General features: G+C 48.1%; 1 protein-coding gene and 1 long non-coding RNA gene across 19 annotated transcripts in view, besides 10 other annotated features; one reads left to right on the forward strand and one right to left on the reverse strand.

Annotated features, from left to right (window-relative positions):
- Nucleotides 5,704-9,424, reverse strand: ZHX2-AS1 (ZHX2 antisense RNA 2). The gene is made up of 2 exons (XR_007061082.1): nucleotides 7,993-9,424; nucleotides 5,704-6,017 (listed from the first exon to the last, which is right to left on the reverse strand). It is a non-coding gene; the product is annotated as a ZHX2 antisense RNA 2 (long non-coding RNA).
- Nucleotides 7,918-8,419: an enhancer, noted in NCBI's record as "H3K27ac hESC enhancer chr8:123792337-123792838 (GRCh37/hg19 assembly coordinates)". NCBI's record gives its function as "activates a minimal SCP1, AML or CMV promoter by ChIP-STARR-seq in naive H9 embryonic stem cells {active_cell/tissue: H9 hESC(naive)}" and the evidence as "EXISTENCE:reporter gene assay evidence [ECO:0000049][PMID:30033119]".
- ZHX2 (zinc fingers and homeoboxes 2) overlaps nucleotides 8,199-17,816 on the forward strand; it is a 194,132-nt gene continuing 184,514 nt past the window's right edge. For 14 of the 18 annotated variants that reach the window (NR_182048.1, NM_001412808.1, XM_047421590.1 and 11 more), the window contains exon 1: nucleotides 9,475-9,766. The gene's annotated coding sequence lies outside the window, so the exon portion shown is untranslated. Of the gene's footprint in view, nucleotides 8,306-9,474; nucleotides 9,767-10,705; nucleotides 10,990-17,816 lie in introns of those variants that run through there. The other 4 variants (NM_001412806.1, NM_001412805.1, NM_001412799.1 and 1 more) reach the window with 3 other exon arrangements.
- Nucleotides 8,420-8,919: an enhancer, noted in NCBI's record as "H3K27ac hESC enhancer chr8:123792839-123793338 (GRCh37/hg19 assembly coordinates)". NCBI's record gives its function as "activates a minimal SCP1, AML or CMV promoter by ChIP-STARR-seq in naive H9 embryonic stem cells {active_cell/tissue: H9 hESC(naive)}" and the evidence as "EXISTENCE:reporter gene assay evidence [ECO:0000049][PMID:30033119]".
- Nucleotides 10,087-10,136: an enhancer, noted in NCBI's record as "active region_27853". NCBI's record gives its function as "activates an Ori minimal core promoter by ATAC-STARR-seq in GM12878 lymphoblastoid cells {active_cell/tissue: GM12878}" and the evidence as "EXISTENCE:reporter gene assay evidence [ECO:0000049][PMID:35858748]".
- Nucleotides 10,187-10,256: a silencer, noted in NCBI's record as "silent region_19486". NCBI's record gives its function as "represses an Ori minimal core promoter by ATAC-STARR-seq in GM12878 lymphoblastoid cells {active_cell/tissue: GM12878}" and the evidence as "EXISTENCE:reporter gene assay evidence [ECO:0000049][PMID:35858748]".
- Nucleotides 10,477-10,606: a silencer, noted in NCBI's record as "silent region_19487". NCBI's record gives its function as "represses an Ori minimal core promoter by ATAC-STARR-seq in GM12878 lymphoblastoid cells {active_cell/tissue: GM12878}" and the evidence as "EXISTENCE:reporter gene assay evidence [ECO:0000049][PMID:35858748]".
- Nucleotides 10,792-11,326: an enhancer, noted in NCBI's record as "NANOG hESC enhancer chr8:123795211-123795745 (GRCh37/hg19 assembly coordinates)". NCBI's record gives its function as "activates a minimal SCP1, AML or CMV promoter by ChIP-STARR-seq in naive H9 embryonic stem cells {active_cell/tissue: H9 hESC(naive)}" and the evidence as "EXISTENCE:reporter gene assay evidence [ECO:0000049][PMID:30033119]".
- Nucleotides 11,387-11,466: a silencer, noted in NCBI's record as "silent region_19488". NCBI's record gives its function as "represses an Ori minimal core promoter by ATAC-STARR-seq in GM12878 lymphoblastoid cells {active_cell/tissue: GM12878}" and the evidence as "EXISTENCE:reporter gene assay evidence [ECO:0000049][PMID:35858748]".
- Nucleotides 14,696-14,795: an enhancer, noted in NCBI's record as "active region_27854". NCBI's record gives its function as "activates an Ori minimal core promoter by ATAC-STARR-seq in GM12878 lymphoblastoid cells {active_cell/tissue: GM12878}" and the evidence as "EXISTENCE:reporter gene assay evidence [ECO:0000049][PMID:35858748]".
- Nucleotides 15,250-16,007: an enhancer, noted in NCBI's record as "OCT4-NANOG-H3K27ac hESC enhancer chr8:123799669-123800426 (GRCh37/hg19 assembly coordinates)". NCBI's record gives its function as "activates a minimal SCP1, AML or CMV promoter by ChIP-STARR-seq in primed H9 embryonic stem cells {active_cell/tissue: H9 hESC(primed)}" and the evidence as "EXISTENCE:reporter gene assay evidence [ECO:0000049][PMID:30033119]".
- Nucleotides 15,464-15,783: an enhancer, noted in NCBI's record as "active region_27855". NCBI's record gives its function as "activates an Ori minimal core promoter by ATAC-STARR-seq in GM12878 lymphoblastoid cells {active_cell/tissue: GM12878}" and the evidence as "EXISTENCE:reporter gene assay evidence [ECO:0000049][PMID:35858748]".

The following is a 17,816-nucleotide window of genomic DNA, read 5'->3' on the forward strand; positions in this document are numbered from 1 at the left end:
TTACTCTTGCTGCATCACACACCACCCCTTAGGAGTGTGAGACAACCATTTTATTATGCACACTATTTTGTGGCTCAGGAATTCAGACAGGACACAATGGGAATGGCTTGTCTCTGCTCCAATGATGTCTAGGGCAACAGCTGGTAAGACCAGATCCCTGGGAGTGACTCAACAGCTGGAGGCTGGAATCATCTGGAGGGTTCATCGTTCCCTTGTCTGGTGGGGGATGCCAGCTGTTGGCTAGGACCTCAGATGGGGCTGCTGACTCGAGGCCTCTCCTAACGTGCTGAGGTCAACTTACAGCACAGCAGCCTCTAGGGAAACGGACTTCTTACACAGCGGTTCAAGTTTCCAAAACTTAAGTGTCCCAGCAGGTGCAGCAGAAGCTGCATTGCCTTTCGCAACCCAGCCTCAAAAATCACATAGAATCATTCATTTCTGCTGCACCCTATTGTTCAAAGCACTCACAAACCCAACCAGATTCAAGGACAGGGGAAATAGACCCTATGTCCTGATGGAAGGTGGTAAAGTCACTTTATGGAACAGCCAAGGAGAGGGAAGGCAGGGTTTTCTCTACCTGCCTCACTAAGCAACCACTTTTTCTCTGGTGTCTCTCTACCCACCCCCAGAACTCTACCTGGAAATGGCTCAGGTCTTCTGATCTGATCCCACAGTCTTTGGGGGTGGATGTTGCCACATCCTTGGGGTTCATCCAGAGAGAAGGAATCTGCACCACCCTCATTACTTTCCCTCCGACTCTCTCTCTTCTCCCAAATGAAGGCATCCATTCCAGGTGTGGGAGAGGCAGCAGTGAGGCTTCTCTTTTTTCTGTTCTCTCTAAAATTTATTGTCCATGCCCTAAGTTCTTTCCATCCCCCTAGGGATCCACATTTTTAAAACTAGAAAGCCAGGAGTTTGCTCAAAAATGCAATTTTTACCTCATTCCTTCTCTGAGGGGAAAAGCATCAAAAATTCTTATCTCTACTTGGATGAGGTGAAGAAGAAGTTCAAGGGGTATAAGGATGTGGATGGAGGTGATACCATCACTAAACATTTCCAAAAATGTTGTCTTGCCACAGGTACAATTCCCACAACAGCTTGTGTCTTCTGTTGAGGTCTCCAAGGGACTCTCCTCTGAATAAATAATACCCATTTTCCCAATCCAATGCAAATAAAATAAGGAGTACATATGGGGCCCAATAAATCATCTATCTTCATCACCGTTAGTAGCCACGCTGAAGGAGGGGGTCATAGGTCTGTACTATGGACTAAATGTTTGGGTCCCCTCAAAATACATATGTTGAGGCCCTACTCCCCAACGTTTTGGTATTTGGAGATGGGATCTTTGGGAGGTAATTAGCATTAGATGAGGCCGTAAGGTTGGGGTCCTCATGATGGGATTAGTGACCTTATTAGAAAAGATACCAGAGAGCTAGAGAGCTTGCTTGCTTGCTCTGTTTCTGTCTGGCTTTCCTTCTCTCTCTCTCTCTCTTTCTCTCTCTCTCTCTCTCTCTCTCTCTCTCTCTCTCTCTCTCTCCATACACACAAAGTAGTCATGAGAGCACGTAGCAAGATGGCAGCTGCCTAAAAGTGTTGTTTAAGCTACCCAGCTGGGCATTTTTTATGGCAGCCTGAGCTGACTAATATCATCTGTTAGCCATGTGGGCTGCAAATACACAACCCAGAATGAGACTGGCATACCCACACAGGTGCAGGCAGTGCTGCTGGCTGGGAGTGCCCCAACCAACGCTAAGACGCAGAACAAAGGAGTCTCAGGGTCTCAGGGGAGTGCCCCGAGGAGGAAGGGTGCAGCTGAGCCAGACACTTCCAGAGTCAGAGAGAAGCAGAAACATCCTCTGGAGAAAACCCCTCCTCCTGGAAACCAGGAGTGGGGAAAGGCGTTCCCCTTAAATGTCATCTATGGCTGCTGAATGATGCATGTTTTCATTCACTTACTCATTCAGCAAACATTCACTCAGCATCTACCCTTTATCAATTGTTTATTTCTATGGAAAAAACACCTGCCAAAATCTTAGCAGCATAAAACAACACAAATTCACTATCTCACAATTTCTGTAGGTCGGAAATCTAGTCATGGCCTCACTGGATTCTCTGCTCCGGGTCTCACTGGACTGAAATCAAGGTGTCAATCAGAGCTGCGCTTCTCATCTAGGTCTCAGGGTATTCTTTCAAGCTTGTTGGCTATTGGCAGAATTCATTTCCTTGTGCTTTTAGGACTGAGGTCCCAAGTGTCTTGTTAACTGTCAGCCAGGGTCTGCTCTCAGTTTCTAGAAGTGGCTCTCAGGTCCATCTTAGCAACAGAAAACCTCCCTCGTGTAAAATCCTTCTCATTCTTTGAATGTCTCTGACTTTCCCTTCTGCCACCAGCCAGAGAAACCTATCTGCTTTTAAAGGACTCATATGATTAGATCAGGCCTATCCAAATAATCTTCATAATCTCCATATTTCAAGGGCAAGTGATTTGGCACTTTAACAACATCTGCAAAATCTTTTCACAGCAATGCCTACATCCATGGTTGATTGAATAACCAGGGACTGGGAATCTTGGGGGCCATCTTTGAATTCTGCCTGCTATATATCCCATGTGAGGCAAGAAACAAGGACACAGAGATGACTATGGCGAAATACTCATCCACAAGGGACTTATAGTAAAATGGATACAACAAATACAGAGAAGTAACTAGATTATTGGGCAATAATTGCTAACTCAAGGTTAAGTGCAAGGTTCTGTAGGACTTCAGAGGTGGCAGGATTAACTCTTTGGGAGAGTACAGGAAGGCTTCCTAAAGAAAGTGACATTTGATCTGTGTCTTGAAGGACCGAGGAAGAGGGAAGCCATTCCAGGTACAGGGTGCACCATTTACAAAGATGGAAAAGATCATGGAAAATGTAGGGAGTGACAAGGAACCCAGTGATGCTAAATTGTAGAAGACAAGATTAGAAGAGGCAGAAGACTAGGCTGGAAATGCTGATTTGGACAAGTTTATGCAAGATCACTTCTGCTACCCCAAAGAAGTAGAAAGCAATAAAAGATTGTAAGCAAGGAGGTGACCAAGCAAGATATGTGTTTTGGTGACAGCATGGATAGTAGACATAGAAATTGGAGCCAGGGAAATCAGTTAGTTGGTGTTTACAGAATTTCAAGTTCCTTGAACTGTCTTAAGTAAGGCTGCTATAGAACAAATAACCAGAGACTGGGTGGCTTAAACAAGAGAAATTTATTTCTCACAGTTTTGGAGGCTTGCAAGTCTAAGATCAGGGTGCCAGCATGATCAGGTTTGGGTGACAGCTCTCTTCCTGGCCATCTTCTTGCTGTGTCCTCACTTAGAGGGAAGCAGGGAGAGAGAAAGTGAGCTCTCCGGTGTATCCCTTTATAAGGGCACCAATCCCGTTAAAATGGGAAAAGTTCCCTTGTCCCCCTCGCAGGGCATGCAATGAGGGTGTGGTTCGCTTCTTCAGTGCCCCGCTACTCAAACTTCTACAGGAGTGTACAGACAGGCAGGCCATGAGGCTTCGATCCCACGGCAGTGCCTAGGGGTGAATGTTTGTAGCTCCTGAAGCCCCAGTGGGTGTGTGTTACAGGGTGCTCTTTTAGTTTAGCTGTCTATAGGCGGCTTGTGTTAACCAGCTCAGTTAGACCCCCTTCCTTATCACAAGGACAGAGGGATTTCTTTATTCCAGGGTTTCTTGCCTTGGTGTACCAGAAGAATCTGATCACACGTGGGCTTGGAGAATGAGTGCAAGGTTTTATTGAGTGTAAGTAGCTCTCAGCAGATGGGGGAGCCAGAAGGGAGATGGTTTTCCCCTGGAGTCAGGCTGCTTAGCGGCCCAAATCTTCTCCAACTGCCCCTCTCATCTGGCTGCCTGTGTCTACCTGCTGGAGTCTGGGGTTTTTATAGGACCAGGATGAGGGTGTGGCGGGCCAGGGTGGTCTTGGAAAATGCAACGTTTAGACACAAAAGCAGGAGTCCTCACCTAGCCTAGTCCTCACAAAAGCCTGTCCTCACCTAGGTCTGTAGGGGTGGAGCCCTGGCCAGGGACCCACATTTCTCTACCCAGCACTCCAGTATCACTATCAGGAAGGCCCCACCTTCATGATCTAATCACCTCCCAAAGGCCCCGCCCACTTCCTAATATGATCACATTGAGGATTAGGATTTCAACATATGAATTGGGGGGCAAGGGAGCACAAACATTCAGCCCTTCAACCCGTGGCACTGATTCTTATGCTCTCAGAGGGAGCAACATTGTAATAGATTCATACATGAAGAACTGTGACAGGCAGCCAGGTGTCAGCAGTGTGAAACATGTACCGCTTAAGTAGCATGTGTGGCCATGAGATGGTTTTAAATGATGTCCAGGTACAGCACAAAATAGCTCTGACTCAGAGAAAGTTACAACTTTCAATTCTCTTCCCATCCTTTTAATTAGCTCAAGAAAAAATTCTCAGTTTGGTGCTACCCTGTCTCTAATAACCTTCTAACACCTTTCCCCTCCATCTCTACCTTCTGCAAATAAGAGTATCTAGCTAGCTCAATAGTGCTGTTTTTTTTTTCCCATGGTTATTTTCACTGTTACCTTTCATTGGTTCATTTGAAAATTCAATATTGGATTTTCTTGTTTCTATTGTGACAAAAGGCTTCTTTAGTATTAGTATGAAATAAGTGCATTTAAGTTTTAAAAATGTGAATCAATGTAAATAAAATGTTTTCTTTTTTTTTTTTTTTTTTTTTTTTTTTGAGACAGAGTCTAGCTTTGTCACCAGGCTGGAAGTGGTACAATCTTGGCTCACTGTAACCTCTGCCTCCCCGGTTCAAGCGATTCTCCTGCCTCAGCCTCCTGAGTAGCTGGGATTACAGGCACTCACCACCACACCTGGCTAATTTTTTTTTGTTTTTAGTAGAGATGGGGTTTCACCATGTTGGCCAGGCTGGTCTCAAACTCCTGACCTCAAATGATCCACCTGCCTCAGCCTCCCAAAGTGCTGGGATTGCAGGTGTGAGCCATGACCCTGGCCAAATAAAATGTTAAATTAAAAATACTATAGGTAGTTCCTTTGCTACTGGGACAAAATTGGTGAAGGGGGTTTGCACATGAGTTAATTTGCAAGTCACAAGTATAGTGGGAAGCAGGCAGGATTTGTAATCAATCAAATGTGGGCTCAAGACCTGCTTCTAACTTATCAGCTGTATGGCCCATGGATAATTCATAAGCTTCTATAAACTTGTTTTCTCCCACAAATTAAGGAGACAATATACTATTCAGAAGGTTGTTTAAAAGATTAAATTACATAAAGTATAAGAAGCACCTCCCAGGCAGCCATGTACATGGTGGGCACTTGCACTCCCTATCACAGTGTATATCCTTAAATAATGGAAACCTCTGTTTTTGGCAACACCAAACAGGAACTTAACTCCAGTACCTACTGAGTATCTATGCTTGATAAATGAGTTCTTATTTGCTTAGGATCTGGGACCTGTGGCGCGGGATCCTTCATGAGCAACAACTAAAATCAAGAAAAGCTTTGATTTGGAGAGTGGGCCAGCTCAGGCATCATGGACCAAGAGGCCTCTCTACCCCTTGTCCTGGCCTCCAATATTTCACAATGCTACCTATACCCTGCAGAGTTCAGGGGGAAGTAGATCTGAAATATTCAGATATATGTGCAAATAAAGACACGGATAATAACTCCCATTTTATTTATCTATCACTGTGTAATAAACCACCCCAAAAGTTAATAATGTTAAACAACTACAGTCTTATGATCATCTCATTATTCTGTGGGTTGACTAGGTGGAGCTGGATGGTTTTCCTCTACATAATGTCAGGTGAGACTAGAGTCAAGTGGGAGATCGATTAGGCTGGAGCATCCAAGATGGCTAAAGTCTGTGTATTAATCAGGATCTCAGGTGGAGCTATTGTCCCTATCACCTTTGTTTTCACTCCATGTGGCCTCTCCATGAAACTTCGGCTTCTCACAGCATGGCAGCAGGACCCTAAAAGGAAGGAAACAGAAACTGCCAGTCTCTTAAGACTTGGATTTAGATGTCTCAGAATATCACTTTCATTGCATCCAAAGCAATCACAGGACCAGTCCAGATTCCAAGGGAGGGGAAGTAAACTCCACCTCTTAATGGTGATGTATTTTTCAAAAAAGGAAGGAAAGGATTGAAAAAAGCCATCTTAGAAGACTACCACACCTCCTAAAGCTTTCACTTTTTGCAAAAGGTTTTTATTCTTGAAATGTGTGTATATTTCAACTAAGCAAATATGTACCTAGGAATTTATCCTAAGGAAGTAATCGCAGATGATTCAAAAGATCTGACACAAGGTTGTTCATTGGAATAAAATTGAAACTACCCAATGCCCAACAACAGGGGACCAATTAAGTCCAAAGGTGGTTGAGGACAGTGTTTTAAAAGTCTATTCTCTGGGAAGCAGGTAAAATTAAGCTTAAATTCCAACTCCATTACTTAGCATCTGTGTGATGTCGAGCAAGGTACAGTACTTAAGCTCTTTAAGTCTCAGTTTCTATATCGGTAAAATAAAGACAAAATATAGATTTTTGTGATGATTCAATGAGATGATACATATAAAAGGCTCAGCACATGGTAAATGATCAATAATTGTGAACTGCTATTATTATTTATGATAGTCCTTAGTGCTATCATATTAGTGCAAATCTTTCCCATTCTCTCCATTTCCAGGCACACAATACTTCCATGGATCTTTACAGTTAACTTTGTGTTTAGTTCTGACCAATGAGTTGTAAGTGAAAGTGGCATACGTTACTTCCTGGCTGAACATTTACTTGTCCAACATTATTGATTCTGAAGCTCCTAAATACTGTCAGATAACGGTCTGTCTACTCCATGAGTATACTTCAAGCAAACAGGGATCATACCACATAAAGCAAAAGCCACCTTTGTCTTATTCCTCATTGTTTTCTCTTTATATGGTGCAAGTTCAGTCCATGCTAAACTCTGAACAATTTTAAAACACTGCAACACATCAGAAGCCCCTCATCCTTGCTAGTGTCCATGAGATCCAAGTGCTCTGAAGATATGAGAACCCAGCAGACTGTTTAGAGGGTTACCTGGCTTCCCTCCCACCTGGCCCATTCCACCCTACATACAATCTGTCACCCAGCCAGAAGCAGGTGGCAGTGAGGTGGCAGCAAGGGAAACTTGGCTTATAGAAAACCCTCCTAAGTGATTGATCATCCAGAGGAGGTGCAGCCTCAAAATAGGAATAGCTTCGTTAAGGTTTGGGTAATTTCCATGGAAACAGACAGAACTAGACTTATTTTAAAGGGGGGGGGGGCAGGGCGTGGAATAGCCTGCAAGGGGCATAATAAGGTAAGCGATGTAAAAATGTTGAAGTTGGTGTGGCCGGCGGGACGGGACAAGGCGGGGGAATGGGGGGAGGGTCCCATATTTTTTTCTTTTCTTTTTACAATTTTGGTTCACCCTGGGTGAGGCAGAGGTTGGGAGGAGATCAGGCAGCGGTAAATTCTGATGTTGATGGCAAGTAAATTAGGTTCTTAGCCGGTACCAAATGAGGCTGAGAAAGATGTGGCCCAAGCTGGATTACAGTCATCAAGAAGTTAACAGAATCCTGTAAGAGCCCCTCCAGGTCGCCTTTCAGGTCCGCGAGCATCACGCAAGAGACTCCTTCCCAGGATAGAATCTTGTTTTATGGGCGGTTAAAATGCAAACAAACAGACCCTACATCAGCAATAACCGAACAAACAGGTGCAGGCCATTAAGAAAGTTTTGCATATGAGCTGTTTTAATTTTTGTTGCAAAGGATTTCTGGGGAGTCAAGGGGTATGTCAGAAATTAGAGCCCTAGGGCAGAACTTACAAAAACCTTTTAGCTACTTCCTTCTCCCCGGCCTCGGAAATGAAAAAGCCAAAAGGTCACCCAGCGCATCCGCCACCCAGTCAGCCCCAAGGCCAGCCGTCCTCACCCCAGTCCGGGTCCTCGCCATTGGCCTCTCCGCTGCACACGGCCACCTGTTGATGCCCTCGCGCCCACAGCCGAGTTGCAAACGGCCGCTAGAGTTCGTTCTAATTCCCCAGAGCAGAGCTGCCCGGGAAGCCCCGACGCGACGCGCCTGCTAATCTGCAGGGCGGGCGGGGACTCCGCAGAGCCTCCCAGCCCCAGGCTCCCTTTGTTTTCTCGCTGCGCTCGAAGCTTCTAAACTAGCCCCCAGACCGCATCCCCTCGTCCCCGCCCGGGAGCTGCCCAAGAGTCCACAGGCCAGCCCAGGGGGAAACAAGGTACATCTGGGCAGGAATGCGCGGCGCAGACAGGTTGCCGCCTGAGATCCCGAAGTGTACCCAGATCCCGAATTCCTTAGAGCTCTTTAGCCGAGCACTGTGGCAGGAGCGCGGCGCCCGGAATACAAGTTCATGGTTCCGAGCCGGCGGGCGAAGGGCAGCGCGATCCCCCGCCACCTTTGCTCTAAGGCGCCTAGGGGAACCTGGGGGCTGCCGCGGTGAGAGCTCCGCTCCCACTGGGAACATTGGAGTCCCAGTTGCGAAAGCGACCCGCCTAGCTTCCGAGGGACTTCTCTGCGAGCACCGCAGGCGTGTGCATTTCTTCGAATCTGAGAATTCCAGCGAACTCGGGCTCTACCAGAGTTTAAGTCGGCCCCTGGGGCGTCTGTTTGTTTATTGGCTCTTAAGGGAAAAAAGTTTGAAGATCTTTAACCAGCCTCAGACCTGGCGCGGGCGGAAATCCCGGAATCTCCCCAAGCAAAAGTGATATAACTTCAAGTCGTTATATAAGTGGGGGGCTCCTTCTTCCCCTCCCTACGCCGAGCCTTCTCATTATCATTCCGGGAGTAAAATGTGTCTCGCTCAACATAGTTTTAAAATCGTTATTATTATTTTCCTGAGCCTGAAGCCGGGCCAAGGCGCAGGCAGCGCCCAGGGTGCGTGGTGGCCCCACCCGCGCACAGTCCCACGCAAAGGGTCCCGGGGCCCGGGTACCGCCAGAGCCGGGCCTGCAAGCGCGCCCTTCGGTCCCACGGTCCGCCACTCCACGTGGTCAAGATCAACAGTTTGTTGAGCTCATCAGTGACACCTTGAACTTTTCATAAAGAAAATGGGTATTGCACGGAGACGGTTTGGCCGCGGCCGCCGCGCGGGGTCGTGCTTAATATTCAATGATCTCGCTCGCGCCTCCCCCTCCTCTTCTCGCAGAAATTCCACCGAGTCCGTTACTGGGCTCAGACTTTTAAGTTAATTTACTGCCCCCCTACCTTGGCCAGTAACCAGCGCCTTTAGGGCTAGCCTCCCCCCCAGCTCCTGCCTGAAAAATGACATTTCGCCGGTGTCTCCGGAGGGGGCTGAATTTCACTTTGTAACTTTCTGCGGAACCCGAGCCCGGGTGGCAGCTCGGGTGGTGGTATCGTATGCAAATACGCATGCTGACGTTACAGATCATGTGGGTTTTGGCGTAGATTCCCCACTGATCGAGGCATTTTTTTTCCCTTTTTTTTTCCTTTTTTTTTTTCTTTTAAAAATTTTGGCCATCGTTCTCCGTACGGGGGCTTTTTCTGTCTGTCTGTCTGGCTGGCAGGCTGGCTTTCCCCCTCTTTCCCACGGAGCCCGAGCCGGGCGCCCGGTGGGGAGTGGGGAGTGGGTGGGGGGAGCCAGCAGAGTTCCATTTTGGAACGCCCGTGCCGCGTCTCCGCGTTCCCAGCCCGGGTCCCCGCGTTCACAGCCCCAGCGCAGGTAAGAAACTTCGCCTCGGCGCGGAGCCCCCCAGCCGGCGCCGCCGGCCCCAAACCCCGCACGCCGGGCGCCGGCCACTCCAGCCCAACTTTCCCACCGCCGCCGTCGCCGCCGCGGCTCCCGAAAATGTGTTGTTAATGGGACTTGGCCGGGTTTGTGATTGGAAGGGGGGTACGGAAGGGGGGGGGTGTGCAGGCTCTTTTTGCGGGTGGGAGGAAATGAGCGGATACAGAGAGGGAAGAAGATTTTTTTTTTAAGAGTTTTGATTACAAGTTTGGATAAATGGGAGCCAGAGCGAGGAGGAGGAGGAGGAGGAGGAAAAACATGTCTACGTTTCCCTATGTCGACATAAGCCACAAAAAAATATGGCGTCCGCTTTCGACAGGGCGTTACGTAGACCCGACTGTTTTTATTTATTTATTTCGTGGCCGTCTCCCTCCCTTCTTGGCCAAACTGCGGCGCTTTGTGCAAACGGGGCAGGTCCCGCGGGGACTCCACCGGGACGTGGCCCCGTCTCCGCGCGTTTTGGCAGGCGGGGGGCTGCGTGTGTCTGCTCCCCTCCCTCCCCCTCTCCCCTCGCTCCCCTCTCCCGGTGACGATTCGCCGTAATGTGGTGGCAGGAAGCATGACGCCGTGGGCCGAGGCTGCCTCTGCTCTCGTCGCTCCCGGCGGCTGCAGGCAGCGGGCGCGCAGCGCGGGCGGCAGCCGAGCTACCTGGCGGGGGCAGGGCCGGAGCGCGGCGCTGTCCTCACCCCCGCTCAGGTGCAGGGGGAGTCCGCGCGGGGCGGGGGGCCGAGGGCGGCCGCGGGACCCCCGGCCCTGCTGTCCGCTGCCAGCTGGCCGGAGCCTCTGCCAGCCCGAGCCCACGTTCGCCCCCCTGAACGGCAGCTGGCGCTTTTCGTCTGCCCCACAAGAGGTTAATCTTTGTTGGTGTTGCAGCTTCTTTGTGGCTTCCCCAGGACTTGTATCCTCGGCTTTGCAAACTTGCCCTTTTCCCAGCCGCTTTGCAGGAGGCTGCGGAGACGAAGATGAGCGGAAAGTTGGAAACCAGCAGGCATCACAGGACGGTCCCTTTGGCCTCGTAGCTGTGCTGAGCCTGGGAGGCGGAGGAGGAGGTGGAGGCGGCGGCGGAGGAGGGTTTGTCAGGCTGGGGAGAAAACTTGATGAGGAAGCCAAATTGTGATTTGTTCAGGTTTCCACCTGATTGATAGTCTTCAAAGCCAGTAGGTCTCTACCTTCAACTGTTTCGCGGTGGCCTTTTGTTTGTCTGGGGCGTGGAGAAGGAGAGAAGTCGATGAATAAGGACTTTCCCTCGACCCCTCCCCTTTTAAAGAGTGGTTGCTCAGCTTGGCCCCCTGGGACACTGCCTTTTAGGCCCTGGAGTTCTTCCCCAACCTGCTCTCTGATCACTTTCTCTCTGTTAAGTTACCAGATCTCCAGGTCTCAGGCAGGCCCCGATGAGCAGAATGGAGTTAGAGGAGAGGATTCCTTCCCCCAGCACTTCTTGAATTGCCCAGACCTCCCACAATTACCCTCTTAAAACCACACACACACACACTTACTCACTCTCTCCTTTATATATGGCAGAAATTAATGCCTGTAGAAGTGAAGGGGGTGAGGTTCTGAGAGCTCTTCAAGATTTGAGTCAAAAGGTGATTTTCTGTTTATGAGGGCAGCGAGTTTAAGCAGTTCACTCCCAGGGCAGTAATGTCAAAAAGCGTTTGGATGACGACCAAGTGGAATAAATATCTTGTAAAATGGCATGTTTAATAGTAAAAATAGATTAATGGAGCTGTCAAGTGGTTGAATGGGACTACCATAAAGGTTTAAGTTTAAAGGGAAAGTTATGTAAAGCTGTATACACAGCTTCTTTTAAGGCCAGAAGGGAAAAAATCTACAAGTAAGGCTGAAATGTGTCACTGACAATAATTGGACTGGTGATGTGTGGAAATATCATCGCTGTTTAAATGCTCTGCTCCGCGATTGTTCTCTTGCGCACTTGTACCTTTCCTTCTAGCCAGGTTTGCTGTCAGCTAAAGGATGCACCTGAAGATTGTGCTTCAGGGGAAAATGCAAGAAACCAAGATTCTGGGGCACATCAGCTATCTCAACTAATGTCCATTTGAAGGGGGAAAACACCACTGTTTGTTGGCACTGAAGAAAGGGTATTCCTGTGATGTAAGTGCAGTGTATCTTGACATGCTGAAAGGTGGCCCCACCCGGCGTTTCTCATCCACATCAGGACCATGTGATTTGGTGGGATGCTGTACACTTATCAAAAATAATCATGGCAATGTTTGATAACAGTTTCTAACACTGTTATGGTGTGTGAGGCACAATGCTGTATATTTTACGTGCTTTATCATTTAATTCTCACCACAATCCTGTGAGCTAAGTACTACTATTATCCTCCGTTTATGGTTGAGGAAACAGAGGCTCCAAGAGGTGAAGAAACTTGCCTGAGCGACACAGCAAAAAGCAAATCCAGGCCTAACTTCATAGCCTTAACCAGTCCATTGTAGCAGCATTCAGATACACGACGTCACAGTTAGAATAAAAAAGTAAAGGGTCAGGTCCAGCAGAAAAGAGGGAACAGTAGCCACTGTCCTGAGGTCCGAACTTCAGAATTTACCTGGATTTTATTCCTTTATTCATTTATTTAGCAACTGTGTGTTGATTTATTTATTCATTCAGCAACTATAATGTTCATTATACTAATAAGAACCCATAGCCATTAAGCATTTTTGTATGCCAGGCACTATCCCAAGTGCTTATGACTAGACTATTTTGTCTTCATGACAACTCTGATGTAAGTACTCTCATTCTCTCCTTTTTCTAGATGAGGAGGCACAAGCCCAGGTAAGTTAGCTAACTTGCCCAAGTCCAAACAGCTAGTAAGCGGAGTGGCAGCCCCCAGAACACACACACTCTGCTGTTGCAATGCAGAGCGCATAACCAGATGTATGGAAATGCTGGGGAGACAGAGCCCCCCTGGCAGAAACGCAAAGCACTGCATGCTCCAGACATTATGGAGATGCTGGTGGGATACACACCCCCTGCCCTCTAGGAGTTTGAGCCGACTGCGGGGAAGCACTCATTAAACCAAATCAAGCAGGCTTAGATAAGTGCTATGATTGAGAAAACTAACCACTGTGGAAGCACAAGGAAAGGCATGATTCTTCTGCTCTGAGGGGATCACAGAGGATCTCCTAGAGGTGGGAGCAGCTGAACTGCCCCATGAATGAAGAGGAACAATGTCCAGAGGTGTAGCCAATATCACTGCATTCGGCTGCTAGCAGCAGACTCTTGACTACCAGTGACTTAACCAGATAGGGACTTTTTTGTGTCAGACAACAACGGGGTGAGGGGTAAAGGGAGATGATGCCTCAGCTGTACCATTGGGAACCCAGACTACTTCTTTCTACACTGCCATGCTTAGAGTGGAGGCCTTTGGCCTTAGGTTTATCATCTCATGGTAGGAAAGTGGCTGCTACGTCTCTAGGCCTCAGGTTTGCATTCCAAGAAAGAGAAAAAAGGATGAATGAGTCTCAAAGAGCTTTTACCCAGTACAGCTTCACTGCTATATCTGGGAAGGGGCACCCCTCTCAGGGACTTCTGTCTTTAGCTCATTGACCAGAGCTGTGCCACATGGTGACTACTGCCAGGGAAGAGCAGTCAAGTATTTTTAGTTGGACCCATTGCTGTCATGAGCAAATTGGGGTTCAACTTGTAAGGCAGACGGGGTGAAAGGAGGAATGGTTGTTGAGTTGGCAGGGAGGGCATGTGCCGCCTGAGAAAGAAGGGCCCTGGGAGCAGTGGACAGGTACCCTGGGGAGGTGGAGAGGGGGATGCAGGGAAGGCTGTGCAAAGAGATGATGCCAGGCTTGGGGGTGCACATGGAGGAGGCTGGCTTTTAATCTCTAGGTACTAGGGAGCTATGGCAGGTTTCTGAAGGTCACGTGTTTGGGGAAGGGAAGACTAAGACTGACAGCAGAGTACCTTGTGCAGACAAACGAGCTTAGTTCTTATTTGCAATAAAACGAGTTCTGCAAAGTTTCAGGCCAGGGAACAGTTTTGCCTCAGGGCAAAGAGAAGACCATGTACAATAAAGAAGTGAGGGATGATTTGCTTTTAGGTCCTGTCAATAAGAATCCAAACTTAACCTGATGTGAGTCAGCTGTTACAGGGAGGCAATCAGCTCTCCTTTCTGGATAATTCAGTTAGTGGGACTGGAAAAGCTGGAAGGGGGTGCCATTTACTCTCCAAACACTACACTTGCCTTTTTCCTGACCTTTGGGTCTCCTGGGCCCTAGCTGCAGCTCCACCACTCATCAGCAGGATACCTTTGGCCATGACCTTCACCATTGCTTTAAATCAAGGAGATGATATCAGAGCATGTCAGAGGCCTTCCCAGCACCAGATTCCCCAGGCTAGATTCCTCCAGCAAGGGCCAGCCTCTCTGATTCTCTTTGCTCAGGGTATTACCTTTATGACTTTGAGCTGTTACTTACCTCAATTTTCTTATCTCTGAAATGGAGATCACTTTAGTAGCTGCTGTATGAGTTGTTAGGAAACTTAAGAAAGTTGTAAAAAGGCTTAGCACACACCTCACATGTGAACTGTGCTCAACAAATCACCGTCATCACTGCAACCACCTCAAGAAAGTGACTTTATTGTAAATTTGAGGTGCCAAGTAATTAGCATGTGTGGATTTCATCATCAATCCCAGGACCCTGACTGTCCCATCTCATTGCCATTCCCCTTCTGCCTCCCCCCACCCCCAGTACACACATGCACTCATTTTGTGGCAAGTCCGTACCACACATCAGGTACCACACGTACGGTACCAGCACATGAGGTACCGTAATGTGCTGTGTCATAGCCACATCCAGACAGCACATCTCAGGAAGGATGCTTGGCTGTGCACATGCCCCTTTGGTAGACAATAAGGTAGACATTATTTTCTGTATTGACAAGATTATTTCATTTTGAACTGAAAAAACTCGTGATTCCCCTCCCCCACCCTTCTCTAATGCCCCCACCCTACATTGAGCAGGTTGTGATTTTAAGAACATCCACCCACAGTCTGCTTCCTGTTCTTACACTTGTAATCATGCAGTTAAGAGGGGTTGATTGGCAGTGGTGTGTGTGTGTGTGTGTGTGTGTGTAAAACAGACCCCATGCAGAAAAACAGTCCTGACAACAGTATATCAATTTCCACCCAAACTTTAAAATGGAATAGAGACACCAGGGCCAGAACCTGTCTTCTTGCTGATACCTCTCTTTCCCCCCTGGTAGACAATATTTACCTGTTAAAAGTCACAGTTCACACCCTTTCTTCCTCTTTCTCTCCCCCTTACTCCCTAACATTAGAAACACTTAGTGGAGATTAATCTTGTTACACATTGTTTCACTGCAATGGTATTTAACACATAACAGAATCTGCAGTGAATGAAATTCTTGTGCTATTGATCCATGAGGGGTCAATATGAAGGAATGTGAGCCAGGCATTCACTGTGGTGTAAGAGATTTGTGATATATTTTAGGGGTGCACATGTCTAGTTTGGGATGGAATAGCGGGAAGCCCACGCTGAGTTTATCTTTCAGAGAGAAATCAGCAAAATCCTGGGGACCATTTCCTGTCAAGTTCAGGGTCAGGGAATAGATTCATGGATCTCTGGGGCTTCGGGGAGTAGCCAAATTGAGTTAGCTCTTTCTTTGGGAGGAAATCTTCCCTGTTGGGGGCCCAGGGGCCACTTGTGAGAGACAGAGAAGGAGCCTGCTATTGAGGCAGAGAGGAAGAGGGTTATGAATGAGAGTTCCTGGGCTACAGCCCCTCCTTGTCCTGGTTGGATGCCTGCAACTGCAGCTGCTGGGCTCAAAAACATCTGCAGAAAACTGAGGAAGGACCACAAGTCTAAGTTAAGGAGGAAGTGGCAGGCACTCATGCATGCCTGCATATGCTGTGCAGAGGTGACCGTTTAAACCAGTGTTGCAGAAACACTCAAGAAAAACACTCCTCAGCAGGCCTGACATTTATGCCCCCACAGCCATCTCATCCCCCACAGCCTGGTTCACTCTGGCTGGTGAAACTGAGCAAATACAAAGCTCCCTACACAACCAGATGCACAAAGCTCCCCACATACCCAGACACAGCACAAGCACATGGTGTTCACCATGTTAAGAACAGCAATAGCCACAGAAAAAGTAAGCACCTACTATGTGCTAGGCACTCTGCTAAACACTTTCCCTTCACAATGTCATTTAATCTGACCCTGAGGAGTAAATTGAGAGTGGCAGTGTAATTCCACTTAAAAGGTAGGAAAAATGGGCTAGCTTGATGGCTCACGCCTGTAATCCCAGCACTTTGGGAGGCCGAGGCAGGTGGATCGCTTGAGCTCAGGAATTCAAGGCCAGCCTGGACAACATGGTGAAACCCCATCTCTACAAAAAATTTAAAAAACTAAAAAATGAACTGGGCGTGGTGACACACACCTGTAGTCCCAGCTACTTGGGAGGCTAAGGCAGGAGGATCGCTTGAGCCCGGGAGGTCAAGGCTGCAGTAAGCCATGATCACGTCACTGCACTCCAGCCTGAGTGAGAGAGCAAGACTCTGTCTCAAAATAATAAAAAATAAAAAAAGATAGGAAACGAAAGCTCAGAGGGGTTAAGTACTTATTCAAGGTCACAGAAAGAAGGTAGCAAAGACAGAATTCAAACTCAGCTCAGTCTGATTCCAGAGCTTTCTGTTATTGTACGTAAGTCTTCTGGAAGCCTGGCCCACATCAGCCTGGAAGAGGTGTGAGGAGAAGGGACGGTTTTAGATCGTGCTTTGGGATAGTCTGATTGCTTTTCTGATAAGGGGCATAGGGGTGCATGCCTTCCTGCATGAGTGTGTGTGCACGTGTGCGTATGAGAGTTTAGTCAAAACAGGAGAGAATTACAAATCCGCCTCTGTTATCTACAGCTCCCCCAAACCACCCCTCCTCAAAAAGAGGCCATTGTAAAGCCTCTATCAGTGTCTCCAAGAGAACATTCTCCAGGGGCATTGCGCCCTCCGCCCTCTCCTCCTCGGATCTGGAGAGAAGGAATCCCCGTGGGCTGAAAGCTGCAAAGTTGGAGCCGGAGGAGAATCTGGGTGCTCCTTTCAGGATGCAGAGTGGCCTCGCCAGCCAATGGGGGAAGGGGGTGGAGGAAGCAGGCGGAGGGAGGGTGGAGAATGGCTGTGTTGCTGTTTTTATACAATAAAAGAGGATCATTGTAATTGGGAGCCTTTGAATCATAACACGTCTGCCTATGGCTCTCCCCAGCTGCAGAGCCATTTAGTTAAATAGCACACAGAAAACTCCTTTCAGCTGATATTACGTTCCCGCTGTTCTTAAAATATGAGACTGGGCTGAATTGCTCTAAGGACAAAGCCATCTCAGGCGCCACCCCACCAGCCCCTGGGTGTACCCAGAACCCCCCAGGGATCTCCATAGCCTGTGGAGGAGGAAGTTTAGAACTTATTTTCATTTGCATGGCACCCTGTCTTTTTGAAGATAGATTAAGATATTTGCACACAGCCTGGTCAGAGCTGGATGTCATGGTGAAGTTTTTTGTGGCAGTGGTGGTCCGGAGGGAGTAGGGAGAGGCCAGGAGGCCAGGAGGCCAGCACTGGCGGTGATGGGGTGTGCCTTTGCTTTTGTGTAGGGGAGGTAAAGAGGTAGATAATGCAGGGATGTGAACTGACAGATAGAAGCTGGAGAAAGAGACTGCCCTCTGGCCAAGACATTAAGGGGAAAAGATGGGTTCCAGGCAGGAGAGGATTGAAGCGCCAGCTCTCCTCTAAGCTCTCCTAATAGAGAACTCTGCGATTTCATTATCTTGTAGAACTGCCTGTTACTTTCTTCTGGGGAACTTTGTGTTAGAGAATTGATTCTGAGTATGTGGTGAATTTCTGCCAGAGACCCATAGTCCAGGAGAGCCCGAAGACTTCACGTTGTTTCCAAGAACCAGGGCTCTTGGGCAGAAAGAGCCACAGAACGGAAACGGTCTTGATCACTTCACA

This window comes from Homo sapiens, chromosome 8 (genome assembly GCF_000001405.40).
Source record: "Homo sapiens chromosome 8, GRCh38.p14 Primary Assembly".
Classification (NCBI taxonomy): domain Eukaryota; kingdom Metazoa; phylum Chordata; class Mammalia; order Primates; family Hominidae; genus Homo; species Homo sapiens.